Raw genomic sequence first — 24,884 nt, forward strand, 5'->3', positions numbered from 1 at the left:
ACAGCTGCATGACCTACAGAGAAGGTCATGAAGTCAGCGCACAGAGACTGGAGTCTCAGTTGCAGCTGACCAGAGCTTTCTGAAGCTGAGGCAGCAATGAGACTTACATGGTTTCCTTTCAACAACTAAACAGATGTCTAATTTAAGTACCATTTCATCTTTCTGGGACTTGAATTCTCTCATTTGGAAAAATAATGGGGATGAGATTCTAGATCTAAAGACTGCTCTATATTTATGCCCAAATACAGAGCATATTTACAACTTTTTCAAAGTACCCTTTATCTAGCTACTTATTATTAAAGTGTGCTCTTCAGAGCCCTGGGATTTTTGCAGAAATACTTTGGAGGCAACAAAGGGAGCACGTGGGGCAGTGCTGTGAAGGCAGCAGAGCAGCTCCACTTTTGGATGTCTGATAAACTAAAACACTCAGAAGATATTTCCTTGGGTTGAAGGGGGCAGTTTTTACTGATTTTAACCACTGGCCTAGAAATTAACAGTTTCTTTCTAAGTGAATTTAGTATTTCAGAGTATAACATTTATAATATCAGTAGGAACAAAATGAAAAAAAATAACACCATACATCTACAGGTATATTTTTCCCAGAGAAATAAAAAACATCTCAAATTCGATCTTGTATAGACACTAACATTCAATATTCTCCCTATGTACATATGACTTCTAGACTCTTGAAAGAGTGGCAAGGCACAGTGGCTCACATCTGTAATCCCACCACTTTGGGGCGCCAAAGCGGGTGGAACACGAGGTCAGGAGTTCAAGACCAGCCTGGCCAAGATGGTGAAACCCCATCTCTACTAAAAATACAAAAATTAGCCGGGCGTGGTGGCAGGCACCTGTAGTCCCAGCTACTCAAGAGGCTGAGGCAGAGAACTGCTTGAACCCGGGAGGCGGAGGTTGCAGTGAGCCGAGATTGCGCCACTGCACTCCAGCCTGGGCGACAGAGCAAGGCTCCGTCTCAAAAAAATAAATAAATAAAAAGAGCAAGTTTGGAAAATATTATAAGAGGAATCCCGCCTCAGGCTCTGGAAACTTTTGCGTATTGTTACTTTTTTATCCAAGAAAGCATACCCTTTATTTCAGAGGCCTACGTATAAAAAAGATGACTTTATCTTCTACCAAGAAATTGCCTTTCATGTAACAATAAGACATTTAAAAATTACTGCCATAGAAATTTAATAAGCAAGGGCACACTTTTGCAACTTTAGGAAGGTGTCAATACCCAAATTCAGAATATTTTTCAGTTTCTACATTGTGTGATTTACGATAATGCAAGCAGCAATATTTAAGAAATTACAAAATTTTGTCAGCAGCTTGACTAGTATAGCCTGTTTGATCTGTGAGTCTTATTGAAATATAATTTTACAACATTGTTCTTTAAAAATTCTCACCGAATCAGATTTAACTATAATGGAATATCCAAATCATAAGACAAGGATATAATACTAGAGATACAAAAAAAGGGTTAGAAATTAAAATTCAAAACACTCAGAAAACAAAAAATTAAATATACACCACTTTGTGCTCTATGTTAATAATTGCCACGACATGCATTCCATAGATAATCTTACCCAATAGCCTTGCATGAAATTTGGCAATTTATAAAACGTATACCTACCTTCAGGAAAATTATCTCATTTAATGTATAAATTAAATGCCAACAAAACACACACACACACACTACATATAGCATGCAACTAACACATCGGTCATGCTCAACGGAAAAAAACATGAAAGAAAATAAAGGAGAGAGAAAATGTAGTAAGACACCGGTATACGTAAATTAAGTCAGTTCAATCTGAGGTCCTGAATTCTATCCATTGTATTTAAGACATTCAGCTTTTTAGTTATAAATGTTAACACAGAAACAAGTCTCCATGTCCTGGGTTAGAAAGCCATAGAAATTGTAAAGCACCTCTAATAGGATCAGCAAAATAATTTTTGTAGCAGTTTAATAAATGAAATGGTTTTTGTAGCCTTAAAAATTATCAGCACTGTCTCAGAGGTTAGCTACAGTACTGAAATTATTCCAAGAGGCAGAAAGGTTTAAACAATTACCAAATTTAACTTAGAAGGAACTCTTCCAAGAGTAGCTTTTGCTTCACTATTATCAGTTCAATCCCTCATTTGTTCAAAATAATAACATCAACATAATGAATCAGTACTCAAAGACTGCACTATTTTTTATTGTTTACATTTATGTTCAGTGCTAACCTTGAGAATGAATTCCAGCACAGATGGAAATATTATATATAGTCTACTTAAAAATTTACTTAACCAAGAAATCTCAGTCCTGAATGCTTTAATTAACTGAGAGTTTACTACATTCAACCAGACTCCTCCAGTCTCCAGCTGGCTACAATAACAATCCATCCAAAGCTGTAAGCACAGTGACAGTTTTTTATACTTTTCTCTTGTACAGAAAGAGGCACTGGCAGCTTGCGTAGCTGATGAGTTCTAACAATGCCCTACTGAGCACAGAGATGCAAATCTCTTTGTAAATGTACAGTCAAGGTTCAATTAAATGGTGTACTGTAGATCAGTCGCTCTTCAAAGAAATGAAGAGAGAATAGAAAAAAAGAAATGAAACAACCAAACTAAAAAAGGAAGGAAAGAAAAGGGCAGCCTTCCTGCCAGGTCAGACTCCCTCCACCTCCAGCCTAGCAGTGGCACTGCAGGTCCCAGGGCCCAGCATAAAAGTCCAGCAAGCCAGGGTGGTTCAACATTAGCCCCAGTGACCACATTTCTTCCTAAAAAATCACCACTGACACTCTGACTTCTTAGCTTTCGTCTTAAGAGAATCGCTGATGTAACCAGACAGTACCAGGGCATGTGTTAATTATGCACTCTACTTATATCAAGATTTTGTTTTCCTCTTTGATTTGATACCACCTTAAAACATGTAAGATACATTGACAAAGCTTTAAGAAAAATATAATAGTAAGAACCGTGAATGATAAACCACTTTTAATATAAGCTAGAAACCCAAAAATTTTTATATGAATTATCACTATAATAATGACTTGGTTTCTAAACTAATTTTAGTGTATCACCTGCTTCAAATAATAACATTTATCATAAAAATGATTTCTATAAAGCAAATCTTATATCCTATAAGTTTCCAAATGGAACATGAACTTGGGGAAAATAGGACCACTAGTTGAGTCAAAAATTTTTTATTTATTAAAAAAAAAGGCAGTCAGTAAAATGACACACGAGGCACTGTAAGAACAATCGGCTGACTCTCCCCAATGAGAGCTAGGCTGGCCACCTTCCCTTCCTCTGCACACCCAGGACGGGGGTCCCTGCCGTCACCAACCGTAGCACACTGAGCCAGACTCCAAAACAGAAAGGCTGTGGTCGCCTAACTTCACAGTCACAGATCCCAGAATCTACTTCCCTCTCTGTTCTTTTTGTTTGTTTTTGTTTTTGTGTGTTTTGAGACAGAGTCCCGCTCTGTCGCCCAGGCTGGAGCTCAGTGGCGCGGTCTCAGTTCACTGCAACCTCTGCCGCCCGGGTTCAAGCAGTTTTCTGCCTCAGCCTCCCAAGTAGCTGGGATTAAAGGTGCCTGCCACCACGCCTGGCTAATTTTTTGTATTTTTAGTAGAGACGAGGTTTTACCATCTTGGCCAAGCTGGTCTTGAACTCCTGACCTCGTGACCCACCTGCCTCTGCCTCCCAAAATGCTGGGATTACAGGCGTGAGCCACCGAGCCTGGCCCCCTCTATGCTTTTTAATCGGAATATTTGTGTGCGTCGTATAATAGAGGTGCATTCACTATCAAACTTCCCATTAAATACCACAGCTTAAAATACAGATTCCCACACCATTCTTTGATTAGAGACTAAATGTTCTATGAAGTGAATGTTTCCAAGTCATTTGAATATGGTTTTACCGTGGTATTTGTAATAATAAAAATCTGTATTAGTATGGTTTCCTCTCTCCTTTAATATTATAGTTATTACCACCAGAAAAAAAATTGTTGACATAATTTCTAGCTACTTAGGTAAATGCAAAAACAGAATTCGAAGAGCCAAATGAACAAAAACATCAGGCTTCAAATGAACACAACATTCAGTTATCCTACCTGAATATCCCCAGAGTTGTTGTTGTGCTAGAATACAATTAAATCCATTCTTAGAAGAGGTCAGAATTGTCAGTTTTCACATGATGGCTACAGAAATTATTCTGTATCTTAAGATACTGCTGTCTGTAGAATCTTTACAGATCCTTATGTAAAAGAAAACCCAGAAACAAAACTCCAAACATAGCAGAATACACATCTAAGATTTAAAGCTATATTTCAGTGCAAACTAAATCGAAGTACGTAAGAGTCAGGAGTGTTGGTTCAGAAAGAAAGCAAAGAAAGAATTATGGACTTCATATGCGCAAATTACATTATAGCTGCATAACGTCATTTGATAAGCTACCAGTGAGCTTTTTGCACAGGCTATCATGTTCAGAGATTCTAGATTAAAAAACCTGATTTTTTAAATTTTTAATTTTTAAAAAGTTTTGGAGTACCTACACAAAGTGTACAATTAATTCCAACTTTATAATAAAGAAAAAGAGATTTTATCATCTATTTCCACTGCTTGTCCATGGTAACCAACAATAATTACAAACTTCTAAGAATTGTTCCACGAACATCTATCCCTCCTCTGCTTGAATGAAGCAAGAAACTTTTAATCAACTGGACTGCTACAGTTCTGTGAGATTTCTGTGTATTTGGGTCCCTTAGGCTAACTAAACTAGTAGCTAAGATAGAGAGCAAAGGTGTAACCAAAGAAACTCAATTCTTCTCATCTTAACATCATTCTAATCACTTTAGCAACAGGCACCTTGTTAGTTAGGCAATACTGATTGAGTGCTAGAGATATAGAAATGGACAACTAGACATGGTCCCAGACCTGGCCCTACAGTCTAATGGAGAAGGCAAGTATCAGATAAATTATTACAAATACTTAAACAGGTACCAGTGTGTGAGTGCCATGGAGAACAGAGCATGGAAGCACACATGGGTTGCATGAAAGATGAGCAGAGGTAGTGAATGGAGGAGTTGGCAAGGAAGCCACATGTATCACACCTGAGGGAGGGACAGAACATGCTGTCCTCCAAACAGGAAAAAGCATGGAACTAAGGGAAGGAGATTAAAAATAGCAAATATCAATAGAACCTTCCATGTACCAGGCATCTTCATAACACCCAGAAAATGGAGCCAGCTAATGAAGTGCCTCATAGGAAAGGTTACGGATTTTGGTCTCATCTAATAAATAAGTATGAAAATTTTAAAAATTATAAATAAGACCCGACACCAAGCATCTGTACCACTAAACTGTTCTTGTTTCCTTTTTCTTCATCCAAAATCCATTTACCTGCTCTTCTAACTATTCTCCAATTTCTGATATCCATCCATTTACTTAAGCAACTTAATACAGAAATAATTCAGACCTGGAAATTAAAAAAACAAAAATCATAGCTTCAACTCTGCAACTCAAGCAAGTCATTTAAATCCCTCAATTTCTTTGAGCTTCAATGTCTCAATCTCTCAAATGGAGATACAGGCTCTATTATCTCATGGTTGTAAAGAATAAACAAGATTACAGAAGACACTGATTTGAAGAGAACTATTAACTCACAGACACTAAGAAAGAGATTTGCCTTTTGGCCTCTGCGCCCCATCTCCTCCATGCGGTCCCCACCCAGCCCAGCAGCTGAAGCATCAACTTATCCAGTCAAACTTGGCAAGCAGGCTCTCGGCCAGACCTTGGAAATATAAAAATAAAGATTGCCCTTGCTCTCAAGGATGTTGCAGTGTAGCACAGTAAAAACATGATTCTAATAAAGCAAAGAGGATCATATGGACTATGTACTGGGTTCCAAGAGCAAAAGAGAGGCATTCACCTCAGACTGCAGGGCAGGGGTGAGGCACAGGGCAAGATGTCAAAGAAAGCTTCCTGGAGGTGACACATGAGCTCAGTACTGAATGATGAATAAACATTAGCTGGGCAAAGTAGAGGATGGAAAGAAAGTATTCTAAGCAAAAGGAACACCATGTACAAAAGGGCAGCTATGAGAAAATTTTCATGCAGGAAAAAAAATACTGAGCACCTACACTGAAGTAGGCACTGTGCTAGATGGTGGTAACAAATCTGACAGGTCTCTCTGCTCTCATGAAATATAGGGAGGATTCAAGTTCATCAACCTACAAGTGCTTGTATAATTAGAACAGAAGAGGGCAATTAGAACAGAAGAGGGCGCTTGCATGCACCAAGGCCAGTGAGACAGCACTCCAAAATCATGGAAGTTTACAATCATGGAAAGTCCCCTAGTTCATGCTAGCAGGGCTAGATTTATCCTGATAGATTCAATGTCCACTGGAAAACCTGCAGCAGGAGGGTGACATGATCAGATGAAGCCCAAGCGCTGTAGACAGGGACATCAACTGCAAGAGTCCAGTAACAACATTACGAGAAATTAGAGGACCTGTAATAGGCAGTGGAGTAAGACCAAGGGACTGGCACAGAAAATTTAGTCAACAGATCCTGGAGACTGTGGGGAACAAAGAAGAAAATTTAAGGATTCATTCTTGAGCAATCTTGTGGACAGTAGTGTTATTTTCAGTGGGATCACTCAAAATGAGAAACAGATTTGGGGAGAGGATGAAGACTAAAGTTTTGCAATATTGATTTTGAAATACTTATGGGATTCCAAGTGCAAAATGCTAACAATAGCTACCATTTGTCAGTATTATATTAAGTGCCGGATATTATGTTAAACTATATGTATTACGTATTCATCATTCGATCTTCAGCATAATGCCTGCTGTGAGTAAAATATTACAATGAAGCTTTCAATAACCTGATCTGCTGCAATAACACAAACTTGGATACAACTCAACTGGCAAGGTGTGGTTGCTCCCATCCTCTGCTCAATCCTTATTTCATTATCCTTGCAGTGAAGCAATCCTGAATTTTCTGTAATCAAATCCTGGGGACCTTGAGATATACCCTTAGAAGGATAGTACTGTATTACCATGTTACTGATGAGGAAACAGGGGCTCAGAGAGGGTAGAAAATTTGTTCAAAGTCACACAATAGAGGAGTGAAGTTTAAGCCCAGATCTGGGTAACTACAAAATCCAGGTTTTTAATCTCTGCTACACTACCTCTCTGAAGACTAGGGTGGTGACTGAAGATATGGTGGTCACTAACACTTTCATGGGAGTGGATGAATGTATTCAAGGAAAGGAACAAAGTAAAAGAGCTGAGGAAGGAGCCCCCACACTAACACGTATTTAGGGAGTGAAGTGAGGAACAGAGGTTCACAAATAATTCTGAGAAGCAGGCAAAATCAGTGAATGCCAAGAAGGAATGGTATCATCATGGCTGAGGGCTTCAAAGAGGAATACCAAGCTTCTGGGAGATCAGGTAAAAGAAACAGAAAAATCCACTGAGCTGAGTAACAGAAAAATCATTAACTAGTGACGTCAGCCAGACTATTTTAGTGGAATGACAGTGGAAGCAAAAGTCTGTTTGGAGTGATAATAAATAAGGAGGAAGTACAGACAATAAGACAACTCTTTCCGGAAGCTGGACTATGATAGAATACAAGAAAGAAAATCAAGGTGGAGGTCTGTTTTGTTTTTCCTGAAATGAAATATAGTGAAACATATTTAACTGCTAATAAAAGGGGCAGTAGAAGTAAACACTAAAAATACAAGCAGTAGCTCAATATTTAGCTAAGGATTTTAAATGTAATACAAGGAAAAGGTACAATTATTAAATAATGTGACAAATTTTGTTTGAGCTACAGAATTAGAGGAAAAGTTTCCATATCAGAAAAAACATATGATGTTTCCATTTTATGCAGTAGTACTTCCAAGACTGGCCAATCAGTGTTTACTGATCACTCATAAACAGAATTCCATAGTGCTCTGTGTCAGCAAAGCAATGGAGTAATCATTATGTAGAGCAAAAAATATCAAATGTAGTTACATGTCTGTGATGCTCCCTACCATATATGAAGGGGGCTCCATAAACATAATACTCCGCCTTTCTTCTCCTGTACTCACTAATTCCCCCAATAGGCCCCATACCACCAGAAAGCAAGATGACTTACATGATTGGTAAGTTGAGAAAAAGCATCTGCACATGCTCAGCAGGACTCAAAGGGACAGATGTTTAGTAGGGGCAGGACCTCTGGAAGGAAGTCTGTGGCTTTCCAGGGCTACCTGTGACTAGACTGGTGAGCTAATCCATTTCACTCTGGGAGTCAATAGAAATCCAATGCCTGCCACAGCTATAATCTCCAATATCACAATAATCAGTGACAGAGGTGGCTTCTGACATCCATCTGCTCAATCCCTCTGCTATGTCTTCACTATGTCTTCACTGACTCACAACTCAGGAAAGGAAAGCAAGGTGTCACTTACTGGTTCCCCGTAAGGCCCTATATCATCATGCTCTCAAAACATTAAAACCATTAATGGCAATAAAGTTATATCAAAAACTAATTTTTGTCTGGAACACACAGATAAAAATAAGTGGGAAGATACCCATATGACTGGTTTAAAAAAGTTTAAAGGCTAGTGATATGGTTTGGCTGTGTCCCCACCCAAATCTCATCTTGACTTGTAACTCCCATAATTCCCATGTGTTGTGGGAAGGACCCGGTGGGAGATAATTGAATCATAGGGGTGGTGTTCTCGTGGTAGCGAATACTGTTCTCATGGTACTGACTAAGTCTCAAGAGCTGATAGTTTTATAAGGGAAAACCCCCTTCTCTTGGCTTTCCTTCTCTTTTTGCCTGCCGCCAAGTAAGATGTGGCTTTAGCCTTCTGCCATGATTCTAAGGTCTCCCCAGCCATGTGGAACTGTGAGTCCATTAAACTTCTTTTTATTTACAAATTACCCAGTCTCAAGTATGTTTTTATCAGCAGCATGAAAACAGACTAATACAGCTAGTTATGAGGGTTATTAAATAATCATGAAAATAGTAGCCTAACTCTTAAATCTAGATAAAGAAAAGTGACCATCAAGACAATTTCTGGGAGTGCTAACCCACACATGATGTGTGATTAACAGAAACACTAGATGAACATCTAGTGTCACAATGCCAAGAAAACTAACCAAGACCAGAGACAAAACACAGTGTTTCATTATGACACCAAAATAACAACTTGAATCCATAGTAGAGAAAATGAAGACATATAAAAGTGGGAAAATGCAACTTTGAAAGATGTCAAGTTTTCTATATTAATTTATACATTTAACTCATCCCTAAAAATATAACAGGTTTGCCCCATCCACCCAGGGCTAGAGAAGCAAGTTGTAGCCACACTCTGTGCCACAAGATATTTGGAAAATGCTGAGCAAAAACAGAATGCTCTGCTGACCTTCTACCCTTCTCACCTGATTTGGCCCTGAATAACTTTTGGCCGATTTCCAAATCCACATCCACCTTAGAAAGGATCTGCCACCAACAAAAATATTTTCTTTAAAAGAAAGTAATAAACCACACAGTAAAATACCGTAACAATCAGAAAGAACTGTTAACAGCTCCATGCAACAATCTGGATGAATCTCACCAGCATCACAGCAAATAAAAGCCAGACGCAGAATATATGCCACATGGCTCCTTCTATACAAAGCATGATTAACTAGCAAAGTGAATCTATGCTGTTAAAGCCAGTGTCATGGCTACCCTGGAATGGTCAGACTGAAAAAGGCAAGAGAGGGGCTTTTGGGGCTGGTAATCTTCTGTGTAATCTTCTGGTAATCTTCTGCGTTCTGATCTAGGTTTACATGGGTATGTTCAGATGGTAAAATTTCACTAAGCCTACATTTATGATATGTGCACTGTTCTATATGCATCTTATATTTCAACACAAAATTTTAACAAAAATATAATACAACATTAAAAAAAAAGGAGTTCCAAATCGTTAGAGCAAAGATTGGCAGGCTTATAGGAATCCAGGCTTAGACTTTCAAAAAGGTTGTTTTGAAGATGACAATTACAATTAAATGAGTAACTCAGACGTTTGAAAAGTCAGTCTCACAGCTACCAACTCATAGATGCAAATCCCTGATGGGAAACAACATTTGCCTACTCATTTTCTTTTACTCTCACTTTAACTCCAACCTAACTTGCCTCTCCCATTCCAACTCATTTCACTTATATTTTAATGAATAAAGGTGTACAATGATTAGCAACTTTCCCTAAGCCATTATCCTGGACAAGAAAAAAGTACATTCCATAAAAGACACATCACAGAGTATGCTTGACAATGTGAACAGCAGGACAAACCCAGAACTTTTCAGGACAACATCTCACTTAGAAAAAGCTCAGGTAACAGTTTCACAAGGAAAAGGATGCTTGCAGAAGTTGAAAGGTAGTATTAAAATTAGAACCATGTTGACTGTTTTCCCAAAATTACTGTCTTTTCCTAAAAGGACACCTATCAGACACCCATCACTTTAAGACCCCCGCAAGACCCTTTTCCTGCCCCTGTTACAGAGTTAATTGGATTTGTCCACACTTCCCAGAAGCTGATCAAGCCTAATGCAAACCCAGCATCATAACTACATAAAACCATGGAGGGGCAGTGGTGTCAGAAATAGAGCAAGGACAGGGCAAGTGGAAGACCTGACCTCTCGGCACTTGGCTGGTGGTCTTGATCTTAACCTTTCTCTCTCCTCTTCTGTGAAATTTAATAATCACTGTCATTACCAAACAAGCTACAAGTTATGCTGGGAGGCTCAAATGAAAAAAGAAATGGGAAAGCACTGGAAAACTGTAAAGCACCATGCAGGTATAAGATGTTGACTACACCATCACACCATGACAGGAGAGATTTTTACACTTATCACCTCTGGATTCTTTTAGACAGCATCTCTTAGATGCCATTCTGGCAACTGAAATATCTTAAAACACAAAAAGTTTATTAGCTTGAGCCATAAGAAATTGTTGATTTATAGGTCTAAAATGAATAACAGAAAACTTTTAAAAAACTTGTATTTTTATATAGAAGTTTATTTAAAAGAATACTAAACTATAATACCTCGGGTTTGGGCAGCTTCCTTTAAAGCAGCCACAAGGTGAGGTTTCAAGTTATCCAAAATAAATCTTCCTTCAAGACTTGGGAAAAGGGACCTGAAAAGGGAAAGGAACAGCAATCATCATAATCTTCCCACAATTCCAAGATTTTAAAAAAACAATCACATATTTTCAAGTCAGTTAAGCCGACTATTTTATTTTACATAAATTATAATGCACACATCAAATCAAATTACAATATTTTTGATCAAATATTATCTAGACTTTGCTTTAAAACGTGAAGGCATCATGTACTTTACTCAAATTCAGAAATATTCTCAACATCTTACAGTAAAATTAATTTTATTTCCTGAAATGTCAGTACACTCTCGTTTATAAAGAATTACTTAATATACTATTTTTCATGAATTTAAATATTATCAAAATAATTCATTAGTGACTAATCTGGCCTTGTTATTATTTGCACTTTATAAACATTGTTTTCAGTGTTCTGCTATTGAAATTTCCAAGAAAAACAGCTGCTTAGATAACTTTTCAACTGATAAACATTTGAATACTTTTTCATTTTAGAATATAAAATGTATCCTTTGGTATTTTAACAATGTATTTCTGCAAAAGTCTTCCTAACTATAAAATCGACATAGAAAACCATTGAATTTCACAACAAAGGACTCTCACAGTGAGCAGGAGCAGGGGAACCCTAAGAGTGAACAGGAATGTTAGAAGGGGGACCCCTACCTTGGATATTCTGCTGAGGTAATATAAATGACATCTTGGTCTGATACAGATGAGGAGAAGGGGACAAAATTGCCATTTTGTAAAGGGAGCAGCTCCAGCCCAAGCAGCTCACTGTAGGCTTGGTCAGAAAGCACAAATTCTAGAAGGTGAAGCTTTTCTTCAGCACAGCCCAGGTGTGCACACTTCCGCAGCACCTGCCGCACCCACGCGGGCGTCACCTTCCTCACAGGTGTTGTGCCAGAGGCAGCTGTGAGCTGAACAGCAGCATCCACATTCCCTGGTACCTTGGCAATCTGCTTCCCTGAGCTCTGGAGGTAGTTGAGCACAGTTTTTGTGTATTCTAAATTTTCATCAAGTTCTGAGAAGTACACCTGCTCCAACCTGACCCAGTCACAGCTAATTGAATAAATCACTGCATTCTGCAACAGCTCGCTGAATAGAGGCTCTAACACCGGTTGCCAGTGCACCTTGACTTTGCTCGCCTCCGGCCAAAGCTTATAGATAACATCAACTGACAAGGGGAAATCAGAGCTCTTTTCCATCTCCAGACGTTTTATTGAATCTAAGATCAGAGTAGCATAAGCTTTGGGGACAACATTCATGACAAGAAACTCATTCCATAAGGCTGCCGGGTCTCTCCACTGGTCCAGCTCTCTCCATTTTATGCTCCTGCGGTTATCAGTAAGGCCAAAGAACCCACTGATGTGAACTGGGAGGCCTGTGCTGCTTTCCTCACCAGGTGGTAAAGGAAGGAAACAAAATGCTTTTCCTGAGAAATCAGACGTTGCTCCTTTTGCTTCATCATCTCTGCTTGATAAAGGCATGGCTATTCCAATGATTGGGACAAATTTCAGTTCATCAGCTAAAGAGTCAAGCTTACTACTGATCCCTCGCCCACCCACACTGTTACACACCAACCAAGATGTTTTCTGTGCATCCTTAGTACTCTCCTCTTCTAAAACAATATTTACGTGATATGTTACACAGGTGATGTTATTGCTTGGAGTCTTTTTACAATAGTTACTTATAGCAGTTCCCAGAATCTTTATAGAATTCGGCCGCTCATGTTTCAGTGCCTTACTCTCACTCGAAGTCACTCTAAACACCAGTTTCTCTGTTCCGTCAGCCTCTCGGACATATAAGGAAACATCCTGCACACTTTTCAGAAAGAGCAGCACTGTGTCTGCATCTGCCCTAAAAGACTCAAACAACTCAAGAACCTTCTGCTTATTGTAGAGGTTACTACTAAGTTGTGAAGGTTGTAGGCGAAGAGGGAAACGGAAAAATGTTCCTGGAAAATTGCCGTTTATAAATGTTTCCTTGGTGCTTCCAAAAATGCCAACAAATGGTGCAAACTGGTCTGAAAGTTCACTAATTTCTTTGCTGTCATCTTTGAGATTCCAACATTGGCCTGATTCATGTGGGCCAAAAAGTGTTTGATGAGGATCTAGCATCCCGATTTGGTCACCACTAAAGATACAAGGAACATCTGTAAAGAAAAATTTAAGTCATGATCAACTCTGAAATTTTAGGGACAATTATGATTACAATTATAATAAATATATGAAAAAGCATGAGCCATTAAATGACTAAAACAGATTTATCTAAACACAAACTTAATTTACCTTCAGAAATGTAATTCTCTGAACATGAAAAATGATTTCTCTTTTGATTCAATCCAATAACAAATGCCAGGCATAGAGACTTTGCATGATTACTGTGAAAACCTAGGAGACATCTTCAAAAACTCACTACACAAAAGATGGGCAGAGTATTTGGATATATACACTTAACCCCCACCACCATGTGAGCCCAATTCGACAGAACAGGACTGCATCCTATGCTCAACTTTACAAATTCAGCATAGACTCTGTAAGAAGAGACAGAGAGCAGTACAATGCAGGTGACTCTGCCCACTGTGTTGCTCAGTGAGTGCCTGCCCTGAAGCTCATGAGGTACATTCCCTCAAGGGGTCTTAACCTCTCTGCCTCTGGAGCGGAAGCACTTCTCTTGCTGGGAGCATCTCACCACGTGGAGCCTAATTACAGTATTGAAAGATACCCATCTTTTGTATAACATGGCCTCTAAATTGATACCAGCTGCTTCACCTGTTCCTCAACCAAGGACAGAGTAGTATTCAAAAACTGGCAGAAAAACCAGATGTGTGAGACCCACTGTGATGAGAGAAATTCCTCCCCAGTGTGCTTTGGTGAAGATCTCCCAAGGGTGATGTGATGTATGCTTGCCTCACATGCTTACTTAGCACCTGGGTTTCCTGCAAGATGCAACTCCAGTGAAGTCAATCTTTAATACCTACGGTCGTCAAGCACAGCTTCAGCTGTCACAATCACCAACTCCCAAGCTTGTGGGTATTTTAAGTTAGCAAATGTTATGTCCACCAACCACATGGCTAAATCCATGGACAGTGGGGTCTAGGGAATGCTCAACCCTGCTCCCAAGGCACAGAGTCGCACCCCCATGAATGAAATCAGGCCAGGTGGCTCCTGACAAGATAAAAGCATGACCTATGACCTATGACCTTCTCAAATCCTTGGTTTAGAGAAGAGTCCTCCAGTTAATGTTCCACACAAATGTGCTTATTCTCAATGAGCAATCAAAACCACACTGAGATGCAGGTGCTGGGCAATTAGCTGGGCTCTCACGCCACAGTTCATTCCTGCTTAAGCCTCCAGGCTTTTGCTACTCACATCTGTGTCCCACAACATTTACAAACTACTACATGGCACAGACTTGTGGGATAACTTACAAAGAGGTGGACACGAGTATTAATATTCATAGATAATAGTCATATTTTAATATATAATTTAATTTTGATTATATGATTTGTAATTTAGTCAATATTATTTAATAGAATATATATGTATGAATGTAAATGCAACAGGCTTACTAAAATTTGGCTAGAGTTGGGATGACCCTACTTCCCACTTGCCCAGGGCAGTCCCAATTCAGGCCAGTAGTCTGAGAATAGTACCACCCTCCTTCACTCTCACACGTGTCCCAGTATGAATAATAAAGTATACAGTCATCTTGGCTACAGTGATAGCCCTGCCTGTGCAATCTTTCCTTCTCCTGCAAGACACAGTTTGAAACTAAAAGGACCAACTCCATTACAAAATTTTTTATCACAAAACTATAATCAGTACTAAGAGCTTTGATTCTACAAGAGCCATATACTCTCAGAGATGTCCACACTGAGTTAAGTATTTCCTATTGTTAACTAGGAACCAGAAACCTCATATTCTTTCTAGATTAAAAATATGATTTCAAAGTAATCTTTAGAATGCTTATAAGTCTAAAAAGAGTAGAATGAGGAAGGAAAATAAGAGATACCAGAACCACCTCAAAGATTTTCACTTTCTCAGTTATTCAATACCATTAGATATTATACCTTCCTGTTTAACCTTCTGATATTTAGAACATGTACAAGAAGATCTGTGATACTCAGTTTGTTTGACTTGAAGAGTTGCAGTTTTGAAATTTTTCAGAGTAAAAATTTTGTGTTCAAAAGCTGTATTTCCACATCAAATGGCTTAATATGTTACACTGATTCCACTGGATCATGATGATGTTAACTTTTGGCATCACATGATGAAGGAAAACTTTGGTATTGTTACTGTGGTAATTTCAGAAAATTCAGTATGCACTGATATTTCATTGACATACCTCCTGCTACTGACAGAAGAATTTGGGTAAGATGGCTTTTAAACAGTATCACCTCTGAAGTTAACCAAATACATTACAGAATGTAAGATATAATATTTTCTAATACCAAGACCGAAAAGCCTAATACTCTACCTGTTATATGATAGACAGAATTAAACCCAATTCCAAATCTTCCGACCTTCAGAGGATCATCCTTTTTCCTGCTTCTTGCTATTTCTTGAATGCCGTGCCAGTCCTCTGGGGTGAAAACCGCGTTGTTGTACACATAGAGAGCTGGCCCTAGGTGTGAAAATGCGCAGGCAGGAATTCAAAAAAGATACCAGGGTGTTCTGTTCTATCTCAAGAGATCCTCTATACAAAATCTCTTATTCGAAGGGAAAATAGAGAGGAGTGAATAGAGTGACTGAATTCCACACTATAATTCTGTTTTTACAATAAAAATAAAGACACACACTGAAGTAAAAATTAGCAGCAGAAGAAATATACTATTGTTGGCCAAAAATCCAAAAAGGAAAAATTAAAGGTTACTCAGATACCCAAAAACATAAGGCAAACAAGAAAATCAGTTACTACTCTACGTGAAATTTGTTCTAAATAGTATATTTAAATCTTTTTTTGGTAAATGGAAAATATTTACCAAATAAATATAAAATATTTCATATATTTCATAAAACAGATGAAAATATGGGCTGGGCGCAGTGGCTCATGCTTGTAATCCCAGCATCCTAACACTTTGGGAGGCCAAAGCGTATAGATCACCTGAGGTCAGGAGTTCCAGACCAGCCTGCCCAACATGGCAAAACCCCATCTCTACTAAAAAATACAAAAAATTAGCTGGGCATGGTGGCACGCGCCTGTAATCCCAGCTACTTGGGAAGCTGAGATAGGAGAACTGCTTGAACCCGAGAGGCAGAGGCTTCAGTGAGCCGAGATCGCGCCACCGCACTCCAGCCTGGGCAACAGAGCAAGATTCCGTCTCAAAAAAAAAGAAAAAAGAAAAAGAAATATGGAGACTTGCTATGTAAAGAAACTATGTGAGATGATATGTCAATTTGTTTTAATATATAACCATTTTACTATACACACACACATATATCTTTTAACATGTTGTATGCCTTAAATATACACAATTTATTTTAAAAAATAAATCTTATTTCATAAGGTGAAAAATAATCCTTTAGTAAGATTAATAATCACCTTGTAAGTGTTTGAAGTTTTTTTATCAGCCTCTAGATTGTTCTATACAAGGCATTACTTGTATGATTTTAAAAACCATTAATGTGACAAATGTTTAAATAATACTGCAATTATACCACCTATGTAAAATAATATCAACTATCTCCAAAGTATTTCCTTCAAAAAGTAATATTTATAAAATATTTCTGCACAAAATATTTTTGGAACTCCATTTTGTGAGACCTGCCTTCAGAATCTCTAACATTCTTTGAATATATTCAACTATATTCACTCATCTTACTTTAAAGATGATTAATATTTTTCATTCAAAAAGGTACTGAAGTATAATATATACACAATAAAGTATGATGATCTTGAGGCTGCAGCTTGATGAATTCCTACAAAGCAGATGAACCTGTGTCATCTCCATCCACATGAGGTATATAGGGCACTCCCAGCACCCCCAGAAGCCTCTCCTCATCCTCCCATCAATTCAGGGACAGACATGGGGATGTGACCCAGTTTGTTTTACAAAAATGGCATGACTACTATTTTTAAAATAGTTAAAGTTGGAAAGTGCAAACAGTCAAGGCTGCAAAGGCCTTCTGTGGAGTGGAGTGGGGACTCTGCAGTCAGGATGTCAGGCCCAGCTCTCCAGTTACAGCCACAGCACTTCCAGAAACTAAAGCCATCAAGGCTCCATTTCCTCATCTGCACAGTAAGAACTCTGTCCACTGCAAAAGTGCTGGGGACCCAATGAGACAGCACAAATACGGGGCTCAGCATAGAACCCAGCAGAGCAGACCCCTAAAAACATCAGCTATCATTACTGTTATTATAAGCAGTATGAGTATATGATACTGTCAGTCTTTATGTAATATATAATTTTACATATTAAATATTACAGGAATAGTAATTAAATATCTTGTTCCTACCCAACAGCTAACTTAAAATGGCTTCTAACAAGCAGTGTCTGGTTCCAAATGTCCATTAAAAGTATCTACAAAGACAAAAAAAAAAAAAAAAGGACCACAAAAAGTCACAACACTGAACACCAGGCTCGAGAATGAACCTCTTGCCAGAATCTAGAAAGAACTCGAATAACTACAAGGTCTGTGGAAGGAAATTAAAATTTTCAGCAGGGGATACACGCACATGACATTACCAGGAACACAGTCCGCCTTGCCTGAAGGACACCCACCTTCCTTCCCACTGTCAACTGGAAAACTGGACAGCTGACCGCTGACCCCTTACTGCCTGCTTATAGGAAGCATTTGTTAAATTCCAAAATCATAGCCCTTCTCTTAAAAAATGCAAATAAGTAAGTGTTTTGCATGAAAATAAAATTCCCCTCAGATCCCCACTCTCCAAGGTACTTTTTTTTTTTTTTTTTTGAGACAATGTTTCACTCTTGTTGCCCAGGCTGGAGTGCAGTGATGCTATCTCAGCTCATTGCACCTCCGCCTCCCGGGTTCAAGCAATTCTTCTGTCTCAGCCTCCCAAGTAGCTGGGACCACAATCGCACACCACCACACCCAGCTAATTTTTGTATTTTTAGTACAGGTGGGGTTTCACCATATTGGTCAGTCTGGTCTTGAACTCCTGACCTCAGGTGATCCACCTGCCTCAGCCTCCCAAAGTGCTGGGATTACAGGCGTGAGCCCCCACCCTCCAAGGTTTTTTGACTGTCAGAACTGCTGTCTCTCACCCTACAACGTCAGTGCAACTCCTGGGAAGAGGAAACATGGTGAAAATTACCCCTAGGAGTGCAACTGTCCCGGGGTCTGGGATCTGGAGCTTTCCTTACACCCTGGCTGCTCAGTGGCAGAACCAGGCAGAGCATACAGACAGCCCTCCTCAGTAAAGAAAACGAGAAGTCGGGGGCAGGAAGAATCTAGTTATCATTTAATGTTTTTAATCAAGGTATAATTCTGATCATATTCATCCTGGAATTAGGAGAGAAGCAGTATTCTGCCTTTGCTGTAATCAACTCAGTCTCATTGGTTCACTCTCTGCCTCTATTACCAAGATCAATTTTAAAATGGCCTGTATCTACTCTGATCAAAACGATGTGTTCTTGGTTCTAAAAGTAAGATAAGAAAGGAACAAACATCCTGGCCAGACATGGTGGCTCACGCCTGTAATCCAAGCACTTTGGGAGGCCGAGGTGGGAAGATTACCTGAGGTCAGGAATTCGAGACCAGCCTGGCCAACATGGTGAAACCCCGTCTCTACTAAAAATACAAAAATTAGCTGGGCATGGTGGCAGAAGCCTATAATCCGAGCTATTCAGGAGGCTAAGGCAGGAGAATCCCTTGAACCCAGGAGGCAGAGGCTGCAGACAGCCAAGATCACGCCACTTTACTCCAGCCTGGGCAACAAGAACAAAACTCCGTTTCGAAAAAGAAGGAAAAAAAAAAAAGGAATAAACATCCTGAGAGAAAAATTAAAAGGTTGTCTGGGAAGGAAAGAGCTGGGAGCAGGCCTGCAGTCTATTTCCCCCTTTCCCCAGGGAATACCCAAGAAAGAAAGAGATGACCCAGCCAAATCTCCTTGTTAACATGCTGATGACAGACCTCTAGGCAAGCACATACACGGTGTTTACTAGGAAGAGTCCTTAGCTACTGGATACTTTACAGAAGTTGCTTATTGGAAATAAGCTTGGAATTTATATATTTAAGAGGCATAATCCCCTTGAAAATGTCACAAGTTATGTTGATTATCAGAGAAAATCATGTACATGTTTTATGACTGAAATAGCTCCCTCTGTTAAGTGCTGGTCTGTGTGCATCACTCAGAAACCAACTCCGTGAGATCCAGGCCAAGGTGTGTCCTAGTGCAGCACAGAGGGACTCTCCGTGCTTCCTTCCCCTGTGTCTTATAATCAGCTGTATCCTTGAAATCCTTAGTAAAGTGTGTTATACTGGGTGAGAGCTCTCATTCTTGTGCATGTGATTTGACAATCTGAGCCTTTTATTATCTCATTATATAAAAATGAATAAAAATAAGTTGACCTTAAGAGCTTCTGGCTGTGAAACAAAGTGCCAGTAAAGGGGAAAAGCCATGATACAAGATGACTGCTCACATCTGAATGCAAGAGAAAGATATTCTCAAATACACAAGAGCCTGGAGGGCTCTCAATAAATGTTTGTTAAATAAAGAGATCAGAGATCACTGCCACCTGCTTTTATATAATACATTCCTTTTTTTTTTTTTTTTTTTTTTGAGATGGAGTCTCACTCTGTCACCCAGGCTGGAGTGCAGTGGCAAGATCTCGGCTCACTGCAATCTCCACCTCCCAGGTTCAAGTGATTCTCCTGCCTCAGCCTCCTGAGTAGCTGGGATTACAGATATGCATCACCACGCACGGCTAATTTTTGTATTTTTAGTAGAAACAGGGTTTCGCCATGTTGACCAGGCTGGTTTCAAACTCCTGACCTCAGGTGATCCACCTGCCTCAGCCTCTCAAAGTGCTGGGATTACAGGCAGGAGCCACCATGCCCAGCCTGCATTTATTTCATTTTTTATTTATGTATGTATTTATTTTTGAGACAGAGTTTCGCCCTTGTTGCCCAGGCTGGACTGCAATGGCACAGTCTCAGCTCACTGCAACCTCTGCCTCCCGGGTTCAAGGGTTCTCCTGCCTCAGCCTCCCAAGTAGCTGGGATTACAGGTGCTCACCACCACGCCCAGATAATTTTTGTATTTGTATTAGAGATGGGGTTTCACCATGTTGGCCAGGCTGGTCTCAAATTCCTGACCTCAGGTGATCTGTCCACCTCAGCCTCCCAAAGTGCTGGGATTACAGGCATGAGCCACCGCACCTGGCCTACATTTATTTTTTACTTACTTATATATTTATTTTTGAGACACAGTTTCGCTCTTGTTGCCCAGGCTGGACTGCAATAGTGGGGTCTTGGCTCACTGCAACCTCTGCCTCCCAGGTTCAAGCGATTCTCCTGCCTCAGCCTCCCAAGTAGCTGTGATTACAGGTGCCCGCCACCACACCTGGCTAATTTTTGTATTTTTAGTAGAGACAGGTTTCAACATGTTGGCCAGGCTGGTCTCGAATTCCTGACCTCAGGTGATCTGCCCACTTGGCCTCCCAAAGTGCTGGGATTACAGGTGTGAGCCACCGCACCCAGCCCACGTTTATTTTAAATTGGCCACTTTTAAAGAGCCTATCTCTAAATATACCTATGCATAAACTCGCAAAATAATCCAGTTTCAAATGTTTTTTAAAACAAGGTGAAGTCAAGGCTAGAAGCAAAAACATCATAGGCTCTCCTTACACTCTTACCTTAGCAGTTCCACAGCACATACCGTCATCAGTATGATACCAGGTATAAAACATTATCACATATATTATCTCATATAATCCTCAAACTATGTGGGAGAAAGATTTTCTCATACCACTTGCAGGCAAGCAGTAAGTCAGTGTGAGGGTCACAGCTGCCACTGAGTGTAACAGTGCCTGGGGGGCAGTACAATGGGGTAGTACTGTGTAGGATTAGGACTTAACCTGAAGTCTCTTGAATCCAATGTTACATTAAGTCACAGGCTCTTAGAGACAAGATACCTTGCAGGCTAATCCTCTTATTATAAAAATGATCTGACCTCTGTGATGACTGGCCCAAGTCACTAAGGTAGCAGCAGTCAGGACTAGAACGCACACCTCCTGATGTTATGTCCCACACACCTCTTTTTATAGAGTATAGAAAGTACAACTTTCAAGTGACAAATGTGAGCTAAGAATGACTATATGAGACATAACAAATGCTAGATATTTAACTAAATGTTAACTGGCCTCCTAAATCATAAAACATCTTTTTAAAAATACATGACTTAAATCTCTTTAAAAAGGTGTCTCAGAAGGTCTGACTTGATCCCACTTTTTCTCAGTAACTTTCTGTCACATACAGTCATTGACAATGACTTCAGAGGTATACTAAATTGAAGTGATGTGATCTCGGCTCACTACAACCTCCGCCTCCCGAGTTCAAGCGATTCTCCGGCCTCAGCCTCCTGAGTAGCTGGGATTACAGGCGTCTGCCACCACGCCCAGCTAATTTTTATATTTTTAGTAGAGACGGGGTTTTGCCACGTTCGCCAGGCTGGTCCCAAACTCCTGACCTCAGGTGATCTGCCCACCTCAGCCTCCCAAAGTGCTAGGATTACAGGCGTGAGCCACCGCACCCAGCCAGAGGTATACTACAATTTATGAACATTCTTTTTGACACCAAAGCTCCCCGGAGTAGAAGTGAGATATTAGGAGTCTATTGGTTAGGGTTCTTATTGGATTAATAATTTATTAGTTTATGGCTTTCTTATCATGTTTCCTTTCATTTTCCTTGTTCTCTCCTCTCCTTCAATCTTTCTTCCCACCCAACTTCCAAACAATGTCGAGGGTACTCCTAAAGCGGAAAATACACAAAAGCATGGCCTTTCACAACATCTTTCCAAATGCAGGAAAGTGTTACTATACATAAATGGTGTCCCTTTATCCTACTGATAATATAAAATACAAGTTGTTTGAATAGAATAAGAGGCTTTGGTCATTACATTGCTTGTCATTTTGAGTTTTCAGATTTTATTCTTTGTTCTCTAAAAATACCAACTGGTGGAGACACCTTCCCACCAAAAGCAGAGAAAAACATCTGAAGAAGTGGACATAAACATGCCAAAAAGTACAAATGATAGACTGTTCATTAAACAAAGCATTATTAATCATTAAAAACTGCCTGTTAGTGCATACAATAAAATTTGTTCCTAATTATTGATTCTTACCCTGATATGGCGCCATATCTTTTGACCAAAGAGTCTCTGTTCCGTATTGAGTTTCATCATATAAAAATTTAACTTCTGTCGCCCCAGCATCTTCTGCATTCTGAATTAATTCCTAACCAAAAAATATACCAAAAAATAGTAATTAATAACACAGTAATCTACTGCTCATCTTTGTATTTATCTATAATATTTAAGAAGTTAATATACTTAAATAAAGGAAACCCACTATTTGCAACATTACCTTTAAGATCTGGTGAGGCTACTACTGAAAGTAATTGTTACATAGATGTGACAGTATGGTTGAAAAGTCCTTCTCCAATTATTTGCACTTAAATTTTGTCTTTTAATTTGCTATCACTTAGCAAATTAATCCTGGGCCCTATTTATAACTGTCTCATATTTACAATCTACCCAAAGCTTTTGTTCAAAGGAAATTATTCTATTTCCAAAAGCTGCACATATCGTCCTGTGTGGCAGGTAACTTAAGCTTGAGTGATTGCCAAAAATAGACCTTTTTTATCCTTTGCTTACTAAACTTACCTTTCCACAGAAAAACAATAAAACCAAATAGTAGCAATCTATATATACCCTTCAATTGGCTGCTTTCTTGAGAGCCTGAGATATAAAAATGTCTTTGTCCTGCACTAAACTGAAAGCTTCCAGATGGTCAGGACTGACTCATTCCTTTCATCAAGAAGAAAGCACTACCATTTGTTTGGTGAATGGTGGGTGAGTGGAAGGGTGACCAGCTCCCCGTAATGTAGAAAGGAAAGGGCAAACTGCAAGATTTGCCTCAACAAAATTTCCAATCCTAACAACCCCAATCACTTCTGCACACCTACTAAAATCACGCTGGGCTCCGTTCAGTTTGAAGGGAGCTCCAGAATCTGAATCAAGAATCAGCTCCTAGATCCAACCCCATGATCATCAAAAGAGCTTTTTTACTTCCCCAGAGCCTTGGGATCACTAAATTGGAGGTACAGATGGGCAAAAATTGAAGAGCACTTTAACTGATACTACAACAATGTCAACAGTGATGCCTACATCAGAGTAGAGAGGTGGTACGATGACTACATGAAACAAAATAACTACAAGGAGACTGAGGGAGCAGAAGTGAAAAGTCAGTTCTGAGATTGTGCTCAGTTCACCCAGTGCATCCCAAAGGGCTGGAGTGTGGTACCCACCAGCTGTTCCACCCCAAACATGAACAGCTAAGTCGTGCCTCCTGCAGCCTCATTATCAGCTAGTGATTCTTCCTTGTTACGTAACTAACTATTTCTCATGGGATTTTAATTTTTTAGGCCTCATTCAATCCCAGAGAATCCCTAAAAATTAACAATCTTATTTACATTAGGATATTATAATAATATGAAGGATGGAAATAAGAATTAAATAGGTAGTGAAAAACAATGTTAACTTACAAAATGATAGCACTTTAGATGTTCGACCTTGTTTTCATTCAGGTATCTATTTATTATTTATGTGTACTTTAGGGAGCAGAGAGGCAGAAAACTAAAGATAAAATCTAAGTCCCAGGTTCCACTCATTCTCAAGTTGAATAAAAAATAGGATAGGAAGCTTTTCCCCTAAATTGCAATCCTGAGAGATTGTTTGTAAACTAACTCTGGGAAACAGCAACAATACATTTTGTATTTGGTCTTGGGCAAGCCACTAAGATCTCTGGACCTGTTTCAGCAAACACAAATACCATAGAAGGTGGTGGTGTAGGTCTTGGTGATTTCTAAGACTCCTATTAAATCTAAAACAGTCTAATTCTACCACAACATCCAAGGAACAAAGATTACATTGAACTGGCTACAATACAAATATATCTATAAGCAAAGCAGAAGGCGCGTAGCCCTCAGCTGTTTGCCATAGACCTTTCTCATTTCTCAGCAAGGATCCCACTCGCTCACTTCTAAACAGATGACAACCTACTCCTGTTACCACTATACCTTTATTTTAAATGTATTCTATTCACTTCTTTCTACCCCAAAACCACCTCGTAGCAATACTCTTTCCATCCTCACTTTCCTAATAAGTCAATACAAAAACTGTTTTTGAATTCGCTTTCTGTGAACCACTGGTGCCTATGCTGAAAGATGGACTGCTCCAACAGCCCAGTCTCACCATGATCACTAAAGACACAACAGTCCTCAGTGAGTGCCTACCTGAGCATGACTCTCTTAAATTAAAGAGACCTAGTCCTGATTCCCTCACAGTTTACAATCTAAACTAGAAAATATAACCAGGGCCAAGATACTGAAGGTAATAAACACTAAACAAGCTAATGGGAAGGAAAATGCATAACAACTGGTCTACTTTGACAATTAAGGAAGTTTCTTATTAAACACAAAATCTAATTTTTGCAGTATCTCCCATTATTGCTTTCTTTGATGATTATTGGTTTTTCTTTTTTTGTTGTTT

At 39.3% G+C, this 24,884-nt stretch overlaps 1 protein-coding gene across 16 annotated transcripts in view; it reads right to left on the reverse strand.

The window, feature by feature from the left end:
• Positions 1-24,884, reverse strand: part of SACS (sacsin molecular chaperone) — a 104,873-nt gene that overhangs the window by 13,879 nt on the left and 66,110 nt on the right. For 5 of the 16 annotated variants that reach the window (NM_014363.6, XM_047430256.1, XM_047430255.1 and 2 more), the window contains 4 exons: positions 22,458-22,569; positions 15,627-15,773; positions 11,811-13,299; positions 11,077-11,168 (listed from right to left, as the gene is read on the reverse strand). In NM_014363.6, the coding sequence (NP_055178.3) occupies positions 11,077-11,168; positions 11,811-13,299; positions 15,627-15,773; positions 22,458-22,569 (1,840 nt within the window). Of the gene's footprint in view, positions 1-4,102; positions 4,130-11,076; positions 11,169-11,810; positions 13,300-15,626; positions 15,774-22,457; positions 22,570-24,884 lie in introns of all 16 variants that reach the window. The other 11 variants (NM_001437336.1, XM_024449337.2, XM_047430254.1 and 8 more) reach the window with 3 other exon arrangements.

The sequence above is a fragment of the Homo sapiens genome, chromosome 13 (assembly GCF_000001405.40).
Source record: "Homo sapiens chromosome 13, GRCh38.p14 Primary Assembly".
Classification (NCBI taxonomy): domain Eukaryota; kingdom Metazoa; phylum Chordata; class Mammalia; order Primates; family Hominidae; genus Homo; species Homo sapiens.